Below are 17,606 nucleotides of genomic sequence, written 5' to 3' on the forward strand. Positions count from 1 at the left end.
AATAAGACCTTTAAGTAGTTAGCTGCCAGTTGAAATAATGATTTGGACTGGATGTGGTGGTTTATGCCTGTAATCCCAGCATTTTAGGAGGCTGAGGTGGGAGAATTGCTTGAGCCTAGGAATTTGAGACCAGCCTGGGCAACGTGGTAAGGCCCCATCTCTACAAAAGATAAAAAATTAGCCAAGTGTGGTGGTGCCATGTTTGTAATCCCAGCTATTTGGGAGGCTGAGGTAGGAGGATCAATTGAGCCTGGGAGGGTGAGGCTGCAGTGAGCCATCATCGTGTCATTGCACTCCAGCCCAGGTAACAGAGTGAGACCCTGCATCTTTAAAGGAAAATTTAAAAAGAGATAAATGCAGGAGATCTTCCATCTTATCAAAAGGGTGCTGTTATAATTTATATATTTTTAAGTACTGGATGGGGAGGTGGAGTAGCAGCTCCAAGGTACTTTTCAGTGGTGGCCTTAATCTGCTGATGCATGGAAGGTGTGTTCTTCTTCCAGATAGCCCTGGGATCTCCTGAATTTCCAGGTTGGGCTACTCAGGCATGGATTGACTCCTACAGTTCAGGCGGATGGAGATCCCACCAACCCACAGCTTAATTCTTCAGATGCTTTATCTTCATTTCTCATGTATCTTCAGTTGGCTTCTAATGTGAGCACATAAATGCCCTGCAGAATTTCTTTCCCATCTTTGTGCAAATCATTATTTTTATTCTTTTTTTTTTTTTTTTTTTTTTTGAGACGACAGGGTCTTGCTCAGTCACCCAGGCGGGAGTGCAGTGGCATGATCATGGCTCACTGCAACCTCAACCTCCCAGGCTCAAGCGATCCTCCCACCTCAGTAGCTGAGTAGCTCAGATTATAGGCATGCGTCACCACACTCAGCCAATTTTTTCATATTTTGTAGAGACAGAGTCTCCCTGTGTTGCCCAGGCTGATTTCAAACTCCTGGGCTCAAGCAATCCATCAACCTTAGCCTACCAAAGTGCTAGGATTACAGGCATGAACCACTGTGCCTTGCCTGCTTTTCATTTTTAATCCTTGGGTTCTAAAATGCAAGAATTAATTTCCAAATAATTAGTATGGAATGGAATCCCACTTTTTCCTGTGTGCTGAGAGAATGATCAAAGATCACAGAAAAGAGATGGAGACAGAAGAAGCTGAGAGCAAGGGCATCTTTAAGGATTTCTTCAGTCTTGTTAATCTGGGTGTAAATTCTGTGTGGCTGACAGCCTCTGAGGATCCCTTGAAGTTTTGAGGAGGAGGAAAGCGCTTGAGAGTAATGGATTTACTTGATTTTACTTTGTATAGAAGAGCCTGAACTGGACATATCTCCAGGTATGTGCTGTGGTCTTTAACAAGCAGCCCAACATCCTTTGCTGGGGAAGGCCAGCAATGTGGGAGCTAGTGGGGCCTAGCCCAGGAGCCTTGCGTTCACCAGGTCACTGGGAACTGGTGCTTTCTGATGCACCTCTATGCAAGCCTGATTCTGAAGTCAGATGTGGTGGGCATCCCTGTCCATAGTGTTGGCCTGGCCCACCATTTCACTGGTCATAGAATGGCTGTAGCTTTGCAGAGCAGGGATTGCGAGAATGGAAGAATGTCTTTTGGCTCTTCTGCTCTAGCTTTTGGAAGTACGTCAGAGAAGTTTGTGATTTTTTAGAATTTGTAGCTGTGGCAAGGCTGAAGCAGGTAAAAGGGCCAATTAGAACCATCTGTGGGAGGGAAGGAATTCTGTTAGCAGGAAGGAAAACCTGAGCAAAGGGAGTGGGTGGTAGTTTTGTCTTGTTCTTTTATAAACACAGTGTGTTGATATGGCAGTTCCTGGCATGGGTGAAATATTTTTGATGGTTGAGCATTAAGAATGTAGCCAAAAACAAGAATGTGGCTAAAAGCAAGTCACCACTTTAAACACTGAAGATTGAAGCATTTGCCTAGATAAATATTCTGCAGTGAATATGCCAGAATTCCCACATACCTGTTTGGCTCCTGAGGCATTGTGCTTAGGGTCCCAGGCCTTTATTACAGGGGCTGCTGGCAGGGTCAAGGGCTGGGTTGCCTGGAGCTTCCCTGACATTTCGCCTCACTCCTCTGTTTTGGAGTCTAATTGGCCAATTAGGTCAGAAAGGCCACCAGCCAGCACACTTTTTCTAAATTTAATTCATCATTGCTAGATTAGCATATTAATTTTGAGCTATGGCACTTATTTTTAATCTTTCGTAGTGTAATGGAAAAAATACCAGAAAGCTCAGCATTGAACTTCAAAGTGTGAAATCAAGTGATCATTGCCTTTATGCTTGGTGAATTATTATTATTATTTTTTTTTTTTTGGAGACAGAGTCTTGCACTGTCATCCAGGCTGGAGTGCAGTGGCGTGATCTTGGCTCACTGCAACCTCCGCCTCACAGGTTCAAACGATTCTCCTGCCTCAGCTTCCCGAGTAGCTGGGACTACAGGTGCCTGCCACCACGCCCAGCTAATTTTTGTATTTTTAGTAGAGACGGGGTTTCACCATGTTAGCCAGGATGGTCTCGATCTCTTGACCTTGTGATCCACCCGCCTCAGCCTCCCAAAGTGCTGGGATTACAGGTGTGAGCCACCGGCGCTTGGCTGCTTGGGGAATTATTTAGGGGATTTAGTGGAATTTCCTTTCCTGTACTCTGTGGGCATCTGCTGAGTACCTGCTTGGTGCCAGGCATCTACTGGGAGAGAAAGCAGCAGAGTCAATGCTGTCAAGACCCCTGCAGTGGACCTCTTCTCCCCCTTTTCTCTCAAGGGAACCATTGGCATCCAGCCTTGACCCCCAGTAGACACTGATCATCCAGCCCCCACAGGGTAGCCCCACTGTACCTTTGTACTGAGTTGGTGAGGGGATGGGATAGCCAGGGGGAGTTTGGGGAAGTCAGAAGGCAACTTTCAGTTTCTATTAGAGTAAGCACTTGGAAAATGTCTGTTTATAATGTATTAGTATAAATACTTGGTTTGTTACCACTTGTGTTTCCTGATTTAGTAATGTATATAAATCTTAATTGAATATTTTTGTGTGAAACTTGGAAAGACTGCATCTATAGCAAATAAAGCCTCACACCTAGCACAGGGTAGGTAGTTGGTAAACATGTGCTGAAGTGTTAATTGTTGGGCTGTCTTCAGAGAATTGTAGTTTGCTTTAATTGCATTTTTTGATGCAACGCGGGTGCAAGGGTGTGGTAATTCATTCCCACTTGGATTCTGCTGAGGCTGGCCACCCACCTCTCAGACTTATTCCCCCACCACCTCTCCACCTCCTACTCTAGCTGCTGCAGCCAAATGGACAGTTAGGGCCGGGCACAGTGGCTCATGCCTGTAATCCCAGCACTTTGGGAGGCTGAGGCGAGCGGATCACAATGTCAGGAGTTCGAGACCAGCCTGGCCAATACGGTGAAACCCTGTCTGTACTACAAATACAAAAATTAGCTGGGCGTGGTGGCAGGCACCTGTAACCCCAGCTACTCAGGAGGCTGAGGCAGGAGAATTGCTTGAACCCGGAAGGCAGAGTTTGCAGTGAGCCGAGATCGTGCCACTTGCACTCCAGCCTGGGCGACAGAGCGAGACTCCGTCTCAAAAAAACAAAAACAAAAACAAAAAAACAGAAAAAAAAAAACCCCAAATGGATGGTTTGGCCTGGTCCTTATCTTTGGCCTCAGTTTATCCTTTTCTGTCTTCAGTGTCTTACCTGGGCACTGGTGATTAAAGTACTGGACCATGTCATCACGGGGATATGCCCCTAAAAGCCTCCTAAAGTATTTTCTTCTGAAGTCTAATTGGTGTAACTAAGTAATGTTTTCTAAAATATTGTGGCAAAATATACATAACATAAAGATGGTGTATTTATTTATTTATTTTGCTTTGTCACCCAGGCTGGAGCACAGTGGTGGAGTCATGGCTCATGGCAGCCTCAACCTCCCAGGCTCAAGCAGTCCTCCCACCTCAGGCCAAGTAGCTGGGACTACAGGTCCATGCCTACGTACTTGGCCAATTTTTTAAATTTTTAACTTTTTTTTTTTTTTTTTTTTTTGAGATGGAGTCTCACTCTGTCGCCCAGACTGGAGTGCAGTGGCGCGATCTCGGCTCACCACAACCTCCACCTCCCAGGTTCAAGCAATTCTGCTGCCTTAGCCTCCTGAGTAGCTGGGATTACAGGCGTGTGCCACTGCGCCTGGCTAATTTTTTTTTGTATTTTTAGTAGAGACAGGGTTTCACCATATTGGCCAGGCTGGTCTTGAACTCCTGACCTTGTGATCCGCCTGCCTTGGCCTCCCAGAGTGCTGGGATTACAGGCATGAGCCACTGTGCCCGGCCTAAATTTTTTTTTCTTTTTTTTTTTGGCACAATCTCGGCTCACTGCAACCTCTACCTCCCAAGTTCAAGCAGTTCTCCTGTGTCAGCCTCCTGAGTAGCTGGGACTACAGGCATGCACCACAACACCCAGCTAATTTTTGTATTTTTAGTAGAGATGGGGTTTCACCATGTTGGCCAGGATGGTCTCCATCTCTTGATCTCGTGATCCACCCACCTCGGCCTCCCAAAGTGTTGGGATTATAGGTGTGAGCCACTATGCCTGGCCTAAATTTTTTTTTGTAGAGATGGGGGTCTCACTATGTTGTCCAGGCTTATATTTTAATATACCATCTTAACCATTAAAAATGTTTTTTTTAGGGGCTGGCTGTAGTGGCTTGTCCCTATAGTCCCAGTGCTAGAGGAGGCTGAGGCAGGAGGATTGTTTGAACCAGGAGTTTGAGACCAGCCTGGGCAACATAGTGAGACCCTGTCTCTACAAAATAAAAACTAAAAAATGGCCGAGCATGATGGTTCACACCTATAATCCCAGCACTTTGGGAGGCCGAGGTGGGTAGATCACCTGAGATCAGGAGTTCAAGACCAGCCTGGCTAACATGGTGAAATCCCATCCCTACTAAAAATACAAAAATTAGCTGGACGTCATAGTGGGCACCTATAATCCCAGCTACTGGAGAGGTTGAGGCGAGAGAAGCTCTTGAACCCAGGAGGCGGAGGTTGCAGTGAGCCGAGATTGTGCTGATGCACTCCAGCCTGGGTGACAGAGCAAGACTCCGTCTCAAAAAAAAAAAAAAAAAAAATTAAAAAATGAGCCAGGCATGGTGCTGTGAACCAGTAGTCCCAGTTGTGGGAGGCTGAGGCAGAAGGATCACTTGAGCCCAGGAGTTTGAGGTTACAGTGAGCTATTACTGTACCACTGTACTCCACCCTGGGGGATAGATTGAGAGACTGTCTCTCAAAAAAAAAATAAAAATAACCCCAAACCCACCTTTTTAAATTGTGAAAAACACAATATAAAACTTAACCATCTTCAAAGTCAAGTATACTGTTCGGTAATAAATAATGTTTAACGCAGTGTATGGACTTCAGTGGAATGTAGAAGGAATTCTTTCAGTGAGCCCCATTACGTACCATGTTAAAATCTACTCAGATTAAAAGCCATGGTTCAGTGGAGAATGACTGTTCTGGGTTTTGAACCTTGCTTTTCTTCCCTTTCCCTAGAACATGTCTGCACCTGGGTGGATTTATACCTAGGTTTTAAACCTTTGCTTCTGTCTTTGTTGGAAAAAACCAAACCACCGCCAGCAGAAGCCACTGCCCTTTGTTTATCTGTGATAAGTGAGAATTTGTAAGAATTTTCCAAGTGAGAGAAGTGTTCAAAGTAGCTTTTATGTTTGATAGAATGTGTAGTGCTTGCCTCTCAGGGGTGGTATTTTTTCTCCCACGTATTTTTACCTTTAAATCTCTTGCTGTATATGTGACCCTGGCTCCCTTTGGTTGGTCCTCCAGCTCCCTGATGGTCCTGGGGCTCCCTCCATATCACTGGTGGTATTTCCACATTGCCTGCAGTTTAGGTAGGAACCTGTCCCATGTCAGGGAAACCCTATCTGTCCCCTGAACTGAGCACTTTTAATTTTAGGGTGATACCTTGAATCTTCACCAGTCACTTGACTTCAGACCTTTCTCATCTGACGCCAAGGAGTCAAAAAGGCCTGTTTTTAACTAGAAGCAGAGACATTTGCCATTTTTTTTTTTAATATTTGGAGCTCAAATAAACAATGACTTCACACCACTGTTTTCCACTGTGTTGAGTACATCCTGTTGGCCATGATATTGAGCAGTTTTAAACTGGTTAACCTTTCAGAAACTTTATATTAATGTTGGACTGACAGTTAATATTTAACTTGTCAAAGTGATTTTTGCTAGATTGAACCTGAAGTGGTTAATATTTCTGCTTTTTATGTTTTCCAAAACCATTTAAAATAGGAACATGGTATTTTATTATTTTAATCTGGTTTCAAAATGAATATCCCATTTTCTTTATTATTATTATTATTAATTAATTTTTTTTTTTTGAGATAGGTTCTTGCTGTGTCACCCAGGCTGGAGTGCAGTGTTGTAATCTCACTGCAATCTCACCATCCTGGGTTCAAGCAGTTCATTCACCTCAGCCTCCCAAGTAGCTGTGATTACAGGCATGCGCCACCATGCCTGGCTGAACTTTGTACTTTTTTGTAGAAACAGGGTTTTGCCACGTTGCCCAGGCTGGTCTTGAAGTCCTCAGCTCAAGCAATCTGCCCACCTCGGCCTCCCAGAGTACTGGGATTCTAGGTGTGTGCCACTGCACCTGGCCATTCCTTAAATGTTTTAATGACTGTGGCAAATGATAGCAATTTAACAGCTTAACTACTATTTTTAGGTAGCGTAGCTATTTGGGAGTAGGGGCTCCTAGGAGTGGTGGGATGGGCTACCTCTGCCAAATTTTGTGTGGTTAATAATGGGTTGAGTCTCCCAACTTTTCTTTTATTCTTGGGAAGCAAAAACTAATAGAGAGCTGTTGTTTCAGAGTTTTTAGGTTAAGATGTGTGAAAGTTTCAGAGCCGGGTACAGTGGCCTGTGCCTGTAGTCTCCTATTTGGGAGGCCGAGGCAGGAGGATCACTGGGGAGTTCAAGGCTGGTGAGCTATAATTGTTTCTGTGAATAGCCACTGCACACTAGCCTGGGCAACATAGTGAGACCCTGTCTTAAAACTAAAAACAGAGGTACTTAAAAATATATATATCTGAAAGTTTCATTCACTGTGAGTTTTTCTATGGATGAGGAAACATTAAGTTTATGGCAAATTGAGTTGGTGCCCCATGTGCATTTGTTCTTCACATCTGTTGAGTGGAAAGCATTTATTAACTGAGTTCCCTGTGTGCGTGGGCACTCATAGCTCTGGGGAGGCAGCCTGAGTGGAACAGAGCCGCCTGTTCCATAAGGCTGTCTGGACAGAATGGGGTCATAAGGGCCTGGCTCCTCATGGGCATCTCCCCTTTCCTCCCACCAAGCAACATCCTTTGGTTGCATCTTCCTGGGGGATGGTATTGGTGGTGGTGATGGGAGGGGCCAGTGGGATCCTTACCTGCTGAACCTTACCCTTGGATGCCTGGTGTCCTTGCCAGTTACTGTATAATGTTTTTGATTTCCTAGTTATATCCCTGATGACTGATCTGATAAACTTTAAATATACCTGCCTCTAGGGTAGCTTTAATATATTTTGGCTACAAAGGTCACTACCTTTTAGGTATTATTGATAACTTGACATTTTACTTCTTCTTCTTTTTTTTTTTTTTTGAGACAGAATCTTGCTCTGTCGCCCAGTCTGGAGTGCACTGGTGTGATCTTGGCTCACTGTAGCCTCCGCTTCCCGGGTTCAAGCAATTTTCCTGTCTCAGCCTCCGCTTCCCGGGTTCAAGCAATTTTCCTGTCTCAGCCTCCCGAGTAGCTGGGATTATAGGTGTCCGCCACCATGCCCGACTAATTTTTGTATTTTTAGTAGAGATGGGGTTTCACCATGTTGGCCGGGCTGGTCTTGAACTCCTGACCTCGTGATCTGCCCGCCTCAGCCTCCAAAGTGCTGGTATTACAGGCGTGAGCCACTGCACCTACCTGGCCTGACATTTTACTTCTGCCCATCACTTGAGAGTCCCACATATCACAACTGGGAGGAAGGGAGTGCCTGGTCATTGGCAGATGCGAGCCACTTACTGGCCCTACCCCAACTAGCTCTGGTTCTTCTGGCTGAGGGTGTTTATCTGCAGTGAGTCTCAGGGTCTGGGGTCTGGGGCAGTGCTGAGAGCTTAGACTCAGTTGTGGGTACTGCACTGGGTGCTGGCACAGAGGAATAAGGTTCCCATTCCCACTACTCGAAAAAGAGCTTCTGTAGCTCCTGTCAGCCAGTGGTGAATCCAGCTAAGACATGTTCTTGGGCTGCCTTGAGCACTTCCTACTCTCTTTTAGAGGATATAATGTGAATGAGTGTGAGGTGTTAAATTGGGTAGCTGTGTCAGGAAGACTAGGTGGCTGTGGCCAGAATCTTGCCAGAATCTTTCTGTGGTTCCCAAGCACTCTTTTCTCCCACAAGTTCTGGCCACCAAGCTGTATGTGACCACGACTGAGTATTTACCTCTGTTTGGACCTTGGTCTCTGAACCACGAGGAGGAGGATCTCTGTAGCGTCTCTATCTGAATGACTGAGTGTATGAGTATGAGACTGTGTAAAAAAAACTTCCAGAGGGACATTCTGATACAAGTATATGGATGCAGCCTATCAGATTCCTAGCACAGGCAGACATGACCCTTGCTTATAGGAAGCCAGCATCAGAAAGACAAAAGGGTGTTTTATTACCAAGTTGCAAAAAATTTTTCTCCTTAGAGCATGGAAAACCAACACATAGTAGTTGGAGTTGTGCCCTGAACATCGCCTGCCTGCTAAATGCAGAGCACTTAGTCATGCCCATGAAACAGACACCCCATGTCGTCATGTGTCCGCAGATAGCAGACAGCTTAAGTTCCTGGTAGGGCAGGGTGTGTCTCATAACTGACTGTTTTTAAATAAGCTGAGAATTTTAAAATTGAGAATGAGATTGGAATAGTGAAAGATCAGCTGGATCTAATAAGTGAAGTAAAGACTAAAGATGATGGGAAGAACCTGAAAAAAAGGTCCTGTGTCTCCCCATTCATTCATTAGGTGTATGGTGTATGTCTGGCACTGGATGAGTGCTGGGCACATATTAGTGATTGCAACAGATGTATCCCTGCTCTCCCACAACTTATAGTCTTGTGGGGGTGTTGGTTGAGCTGAGCCATTTACTAAATTAGAATTAAAATGCGTCTGGGCATGGTGGCTCATACCTGTAATCCCAGCACTTTGGGAGGCCGAGGTGGGCAGATCACCCGAGGTCAGGAGTTCAAGACCAGCCTGGCCAACATGGCGAAACTCTGTCTCCACTAAAAAATACAAAAATTAGCCAAGCGTGGTGGCAGGTGCTTGTAGTCCCAGCTACTTGGGAGGCTGAGGCAGGGAGAATTGCTTGAACCCGGGAGGCAGAGGTTGCAGTGAGCCGAGATCATGCCACTGTACTCCAGCCCGGGTGACAGAGTGAGACTCCCTCTCCAAAAAAAAAAAAAAGGATTAAAATGCATAAGAAAGGAAAAGGCCAGTAAAGAAAACACTATGCAACAGTAAAGAAAACTGTAGGCCAAGCACAGTGGCTCACGCCTGTTCCCAACACTTTGGGAGGCCAAGGCAGGAGGATTGCTTGAGCCCATGAGTTTGAAACCAGCCTGGGTAATATAGTCTGTATCTCTTCAACAAAATTTACAAATTAGCCTGGTGTGGTGGCGCACACCTGTAGTTCCAGCTACTTGAGAGGCTGATAGGAGGTTTTCTTGAGCCCAGAGGTTGAGGCTGCAGTGAGCTGTGATTACACCATTTCCAGCCTGGGTGACCAAAAAACCAAAACAAAAACTACACAGAAAAGAGTTGAAGAAAAACCTTCAACTTGGAGCACTTTATAGAGATCTGAGGAGAAGACCCTCACCAGAGTACTGGGACTGCTGGTTGTTGAGAAGGAGTTCCTGGTGGAGGACCCCTCAGACATCACTGGAAGTTAAATGGTTCTTGGAACTGATGCCCATAGGGCTCCTCCATCTATGTACATGGTCATTTGGTCCCTTTTGCTGAGTGTGGCACTTAACATTGCTGGTGAGCCTGTGGTGGGCAAAAGTGACCCAGCCATCTACTGATGGCAGGGAGGGAAGGTTCCTGCGGAGGAATGGGTCTGAAATCCTGTGAGCCACCTGGTCCCATGGGCCTTGGAGTGTGGAACAAGGTAGTAGAGAGGAAAGAGGACAATGTTTTACCTATTACTTATCTCACATTGATGACAGGAATCAATCAAACTATATCGTGCTAAATTGTAAGACATCTTTAACTTTCTTTTTTTTTTTTTTTTTTGAGACGGAGTCTTGCTCTGTCGCCTAGGCTGGAGTGCAGTGGTGCGATCTCGGCTCACTACAAGCTCCGCCTCCCGGGTTCACGCCATTCTCCTGCCTCAGCCTCCCGAGTAGCTGGGACTACAGGCGCCCGCCACCACACCTGGCTAATTTTTGTATTTTTAGTACAGACGGGGTTTCACCATGTTGGCCAGGCTGGTCTCGAACTTCTGACCTTGTGATCTGCCCGCCTTGGCCTCCCAAAGTGCTGGGATTACAGGCATGAGTCACCGCGCCCGGCCAGCACTTTCTGAGATTTACGCATGTTGATACTTGTTTTAGTTTTTTTAATTGTCCTACAGAGTTCCATGATATTCCATGAAAGCCTATTGATATATTTTCCAGTACATGGACATTAGGATTGTTTTTAACTTTCCAGTGTTGCAGTGAACATGCGTATGCCATCTCTCCATATATGTTTGCACTTTCCTGTCTGTGTGCCTAGGAGTGGAAGGGCCCAGCTACATGGTGAGTCTTCTCCAGGGTGCTAGGGCAGCTCACAGCTCCCACCAACAGCCATGTGGTCCTGTTCCCTCAGTGGTGTCACATTGGAACATTTTGGCCCATCTGATTGGTGTGGAAAGGTTTTTGCTGTTACTTTAATTTTCTTTTCCCTGATTATTGGTAAGGTTGAGCATCCTTTTTGTAAGTTTACTGCTATTCAGGTTTTCTTCTCTGTGAATTACTTGTTGGTTCGTTCTTCCTATCTTCAGCCCATTTTTATTGTTTTAGGTTGCTTGATATTTTTTGATAAGGATTCATTACCTATCACATGCATTGAAAAAGCTTTTTCCCAGCCTGTGGTTAGCCATTTTTTTCTTTCTTTAAGGTGTCCTTTAGTCATTAAAAATTATTGGCCAGGCCTGGTGGCGCATGCTTGTAATCCCAGAAGTTTGAGAGGCCAAGGTGGGTGGATTGCTTTAGCCCAGGATTTTGAGACCAGGCTGGGCAACATGGTGACACTGTCTCTACAGGTACAAAAACATAGCCAGGTGTGGTAGCACATGCCTGTGGTCCCAGCTATTTCGGAAGCTGAGGTGGGAGGATCGCGTGAGCCCGGGAGGTCGAGGCTGCAGTGAGCTGTGATTGTGCCATTGTACTCCAGCCTGGGCCACAGAGTGAGACCCTGTCTCAAAAAAAAAAAAAGAAAAAAGAAATTTAAAGGTTTTTTTTTGAGACAGAGTCTTACTGTGTCAGATTTAAAATTCAAATTCAAATTTATCTTAAGATTTAAAAGATTTTTTGAGATAATTGTGAATTCACAGTTGTTAGAAGAGGGATCCTATGTACAGTTACCCAGTTCCCCCCATGGTAACATCTTGCAAAACTATATAGTACAATATATATCACAGGCAGGATATTGGAAATGGTATAGTCAAGGTACAGAACATTTCCATTGCCACAGGATATTTTATGTTGTCCTTTTATAGCCACATCTACCTCCTTCACAGTCTGACCCCCTTCTGTAACTTCTGGCACCCACTAATCAGTTCTCTGTTTCTATAATTTTGTCATTCAAGAATGTTATAAAAATGAAACTATATAGTATAGTATGTAACCTTTTGGGGTTGGCTTTTTTTTTTCACTTAGCAAGATTGCTTGGAAATTCATCCAAGTTGTTGAGCGTATCCATAGTTCATTCATTTTTATTGTTTATTAGTATTCCATGGTATGCATGTACCATAGTTTGTTTAATCATTCACCCATTGAAGGACATCTGGGTTGTACCATTTGTTGAAAAGGCAATTTTTTCCCCGTTGAATTGCTTTTGCATTGTTGTCAAAAATCACTTGGGTATATTTGTGTATGTCTATTTCTGGATTCCCTATTATATTCCATTTGTCTATGTATCTGTCCCTCCACCAATACAGTCTTTTTTTTTTTTTTTTTTTTTTTTTTTTTTTTTTTTTTTGACAGAGTCTCACTCTGTTGCTCAGGCTGGAGTGCAGTGGCACGATCTCGGCTCACTCCAACCTCTGCCTCCTGGGTTCATGCCATTCTCCTGCCTCAGCCTCCCCAGTAGCTGAGTAGCTGGGACTACAGGCGCCCGCTACCACGCCCAGCTAATTTTTTTTTTTTTTTTTTTTTTTGTATTTTTAGTAGAGACGGGGTTTCACCATGTTAGCCAGGATGGCCTCGATCTCCTGACCTCGTGATCCACCCGCCTCGGCCTCCCAAAGTGCTGGGATTACAGGTGTGAGCCACTGTGCCCAGCTGTATTCCCTATTATATTCCATTGGTCTATGTATCTGTCCCTCCACCATTACAGTCTTCTTCTTTTTTTTTTTTTTTAATTTTAAAATTACTATTGTTATTTTTGAGACAGGGTCTTGCTCCGTTGCCCAGGCTGGAGTGCAGTGGTGTGAATGTGGCTCACTGAGCCTTGACCTGCTGGGCTCAAGCGATCCTCCCACATAGCTGAGGCCACAGCTGCATGCCACCACACTTGGCTAATTTTTAAAATTTTTGTAGAGATGAGGTCTTACTGTGTTGCCCAGATTGGTTTCTAACTCCTGGGCTCAAGTGATGCTTCTGCCTCAGCCTCCCAGATTGTTGGGATTATAGGTATGAGCCACTGCACCCCGCCCTTATTTTTTTTTAATTACTATGTTGCCAAGGCTGGTGTCAAACTCCTGGGTTCCTCCGTCAGCCTCTTGCGTAGCTGGGATCACAGGTGTATGCATAGTTTTCAGCATACAAATTGTGTACATGTTTTGTTAGATTTGCACCTAAGTAATTTTTTTGAATAGTTTAAATGATACTGTATTTTTAATTTTGGTGTCCACATGTTGCAGTATATAGAAATACAATTGATTTTTGAATGTTTTTGTGTTCTGTGACCTTGTTGAACTCACTTATTATAGAACTGATATAGGACTATAAGGAGTTTTCTTATGGATTCTTTGGCATTTTCTACATAGACAATTATGTCATCTGCAAATAAGGGCAATTTTATTTTTTCTTTTCCAATCTGTATGCCAAACTTTTTTTTTTGAGACGGAGTTTCGCTCTTGTTGCCCAGGTTGGAGTGCAATGGCGCCATCTTGGCTCACCGCAACCTCCACCTCCCAGGTTCAAACAATTCTCCTGCCTCAGCCTCCTGAGTAGCTGGGCATGCACCACCATGCCCGGCTAATTTTGTATTTTTTTTTTTTAGTAGAGATGGGGTTTCTCCATGTTGGCCAGGCTGGTCTCGAACTCCCGACCTCAGGTGATCCACCTGCCTCGGCCCCCCAAGGTGCTGGAATTACAGGCGTGAGCCACCACGCCCGGCCTATTTTTTTTTCTTTTTTTTTTTTTTTGAGTCAGAGTTTCACTCCTGTTGCCCAGGCTGGAGTGCAGTGGCTTGATCTCGGCTCACTACAACCACCGCCTCCTGGGTTCAAGCGATTCTCCTGCCTCAGCCTCCTGAGTAGCTAGGATTACAGGTGCCCGCCACCACGCCTGGCTAATTTTTTGTATTTAGTAGAGATGGGGTTTCACCATGTTAGTCAGGCTGGTCTTGAACTCCTGACCCAGGTGATTCACCGGCCTCAGCCTCCCAAAGTGCTGGGATTACAGGCGTGGGCCACTGCGCCTGGCCACTATACTTTTTTTCTCACTTTATTGCACTAGCTAGAACTTCTAGCATTATGTTGTATATGAATGGTGATAGTGGACATTCTTTGCCTTGTTTCTGTTCTTAAGGATAAGTCACTCAGTTTGTCACCAGTAAATACAGTGTTAGCTGTAGGGGTGTTTGGTAGATGCTCTTTATCAAGTTGAAGAAGTTCCCCTCTGTTCCTATTTGTCTGAGAGTTTTTTTATTATGAATCAGTGTTGAATTTTGTCAGACACTTTCTCTGCATCAATTGGTATGACCATGTGATTTTTTTTCTGTAGCCTGTTAATATGGTTAATTTTCAAATATTGAGCTGATTAATTTTCAAATATTGAGCTCTCCTTGCATCTCTGGAATAAGTACCACTTGGTCGTGGTATATATTTCTTTTAATATATTGCTGAATTCTGTTTGATCATGTTTTCTTAAAGACTTTCGTGTCTGTTTTCATGATAGATACTGGTCTATAGTTTTGTTGTAATATCTTGGTTTGATTTTGATATCAGGATAATGCTACCTTAATAGAATGAATTGGAGCCAAGTATGGTGGCAAATGCCTATAGTCCTAGCTACTCAGGAGGCTGAGGTGGTGGGGACTGCTTGAGCCCAGGAGTTCAAATCTAGCTTGGGCAATGTAGCAAGACCCCATTTCTAAAAAAGAAAAATGAAAAAAAAAAAAGAAAAATAAGTAAAAAGTTAAATAAAGAAAATTCAATATATTAAAACAAAATGAATCAGGATGTGTTTCCTCCTTGTCTGCTTTCTGGAAGAGTTTGTGCCTGGCAGTGGCTCATGCCTGTAATTCCAGAACTTTGGGAGTCCAAGGCGGGTGGATCACTTGAGGTCAGGAGTTCAGGACCAGCCTGGCCAACTCCTTCTCCAAAAAAAAGAAAAAGAAGAAAAAGAAAAGATTGGTAGAACTTACCGCTGATGTCATTCAGGCCTGTAGATTTCTTTTTGTGGGAGTTTTAAAATTACAAATTCAGGGTCAGGCGTGGTGGCTCACACCTGTAATCCCAGCACTTTGGGAGGCTGAGGTGGGCGGATCACCTGAGGTCAGGAGTTCAAGACCAGCCTGGTCAACGTGGCAAAACCCCGTCTCTATTAAAAATACAAAAATTAGCTGGGCGTAGTGGTGGGAGCCTGTAATCCCAGCTACTTGGGAGGCTGAGGCAGGAGAATTGTTTGAACCTGGGAGGCGGAGGTTACAGTGAGCCGAGATTGTGCACTACATTCCAGTCTAGGTGACAGAGCAAGGCTCCATCTCAAATAAATAAATAAATTTAAAAAAAAATTACAAATTCAATTTCCTTAATATTTTTCTTTTCTTTTTTTTCTTTTTTTTTCTTTTTCTTTTTCTTTTCCTTTCCTTTATCTTTTCCTTTTCTTTTGAGACAGTCTCAATCTGTCATCCAGGCTAGAGTGCAGTGGTGTGATTATGGCTTATTACAGCCTTGAACTGCTGGGCTCAAGCCAACCTTCTTCCTTAGCCTCCTGAGTACCTGGGACTTCTGTCTTAAAAAAAAATTTTATCCTTTCTGCCTCTGTAAAATAATTTTCTTAATAGAAATTATATCATATTGGATGAGTTGTAGTAGTTTGTATTTTTTGAGAGGAATCTGTTCGTTTAGTTTGATTCATATTTGTCTGTGTAGAGTTGTTTATAGTGTTTCCTTATTTTTCTTTTGATGTCTGCAATATCTAGTGATATCTCCTGCTTCATTGTTGATGTTAGTAATTGTCTTCTCTTTTTTCTTGTATCATTCTTGAGATCAATTTTATTAATCTTTTCAAATAACTAGTTATTTGTTTCAATGGTTTTTCTCTGTTTTTGTTTTCAGTTTCATTGGGGTTTTTTGCTTTTTATTATTTCCTTCTGCTTGCTTTTGGTTTATTTTGCTTTTTTTTTTTTTTTTTTAATAATGAGATGGAGTTTTGCTCTTGTTGCCCAAGCTGGAATGCAATGGTGCATTCTCAGCTCACTTCAGCCTCTGCCTCCTGGGTTCGAGCAATTCTCCTGCTTCAGCCTCCCGAGTAGCTGGGATTACAGGTGCCTGCCACCACACCCGGCTAATTTTTGTATTTGTATTTGTTTGTGTATATGTATGTATGTGTTGTTTTTGAGACAGGGTCTTGCTCTGTCACCCAGGCTAGAGTGCAGTGGTGCAGTCTCCGCTCACTGCAACCTCTGCCTACCAGGTTCAAGGGATTCTCCTGCCTCAGCCTCCTAAGTAGCTGCGACTTCAGGCGTGCACCACCACGCCTGGCTAATTTTTTGTATTTGTAGTAGAGACGGGGTTTCACCATGTTGGCCAGGCTGGTCTTGAACTCCTGACGTCAGGTGATCTGCCTGCCTTGGCCTCCCAAAGTGCTAGGGTTACAGGCGTGAGCCACCATGCCTGGCATGTATTTTTAGTAGAGACAAGATTTCACCATGCTGGCCAGGCTGGTCTTGAACTCCTGACTTCAAGTGAACCTCCTGTCTCAGCCTCCCAAAGTGCTGGGATTACAGGCATGAGCCACTGCACCCGCCCGCCAGGCCTCAAAGCATTTTTCTAAGCCTCATTGTTACAGTTGCCACATGAATGTATCTCTATATATACATGTATACATTTTTTTTCTTTGAATCATTTTGAAGTGAGTTGCAGAGTGTTTGACACTTCATCCCTAAGTACTTCAAAATACAATTCATAAGATTGAGGATGATTCCCTATAGAGTCTTACTACCATCATATCACCTAAGAAAAATAACAGTAAATCCCATTTCCAGTTTACACGCAAAATTCCTCAATTACCCCTTTGGGAGCTGGACTCATGGGTTTTTTTAAAAAGTAAATCCAGAATCCAGTCAAGAGATACACATTGTCTGGGCAAGATTGCTTACCTTTCTAATCCTGGGAGACTGAGGTGAGAGGATCACTTGAGGCCAAGAGTTTGAGGCCAGCCTGGGCAGCATAGTGGGACACTGTCTGTACAAAAGATTTTTAAAAACTAGCTGAGTGGAGTGGTGTGCACCTGAAGTCCCAGCTATTTACTTGAGCCCAGGAGTTCAAGGTTACATTGAGCTATGAACATGACACTGTACTCTATCCTGGGCCACAGAGCAAGAACCTTCTCTGTCCCCACTCCCCTACCCCTAGAAAGATACACACATCAAGTCTGGTTGCTGTCTCTAAATCGAGAACAGTCATCTTATGTTTAGGGATGTCAGCATTTGGAGAGACCAGGCCAGTTGTTTGGCAGAAGATCCCACATTCTAGATTTGTGTGATTTTCTTTGCATAGCTCCCATATTTCCTGTAAATTGGAAGTTAGGTCTAAAGCAGTGCCACCCAACAGAAATATAACATGAGCCACATATGTCACTTAAATTTTCCTGGTAGCCACATGAAGAAAAGCAGATTAAATTAATTTCAATCATATATTTTACTTAATATTTTATTGTTTTTTTTTGAGGTCGAGTCTCACTCTGTCACCCAGGCTGGAGTGCAGTGGTGCAATCTCGGCTCACTGCAACCTCCACCTCCCGGGTTCAAGTGATTCTCTTGCCTCAGCTTCCTCAGTAGCTGGGATTACAGGCACCCACCACCATGCCCGGCTAATTTTCATATTTTTAGTAGAGATGGGATTTT

At 44.0% G+C, this 17,606-nt stretch overlaps 1 protein-coding gene across 55 annotated transcripts in view; it reads left to right on the forward strand.

Moving 5' to 3' along the window:
* The window catches only part of DAG1 (dystroglycan 1), a 66,668-nt gene that overhangs the window by 23,372 nt on the left and 25,690 nt on the right, over window positions 1-17,606 (forward strand). For 20 of the 55 annotated variants that reach the window (XM_047447546.1, XM_047447558.1, XM_047447569.1 and 17 more), the window contains one exon: window positions 504-654. The exons of 34 other annotated variants lie outside the window; for them this stretch is intronic. The gene's annotated coding sequence lies outside the window, so the exon portion shown is untranslated. The remainder of the gene's footprint in view (window positions 1-503; window positions 655-17,606) is intronic. One more of the 55 variants, NM_001177641.3, reaches the window with a different exon arrangement.

The sequence above is a fragment of the Homo sapiens genome, chromosome 3, assembly GCF_000001405.40.
Source record: "Homo sapiens chromosome 3, GRCh38.p14 Primary Assembly".
Lineage (NCBI taxonomy): Eukaryota > Metazoa > Chordata > Mammalia > Primates > Hominidae > Homo > Homo sapiens.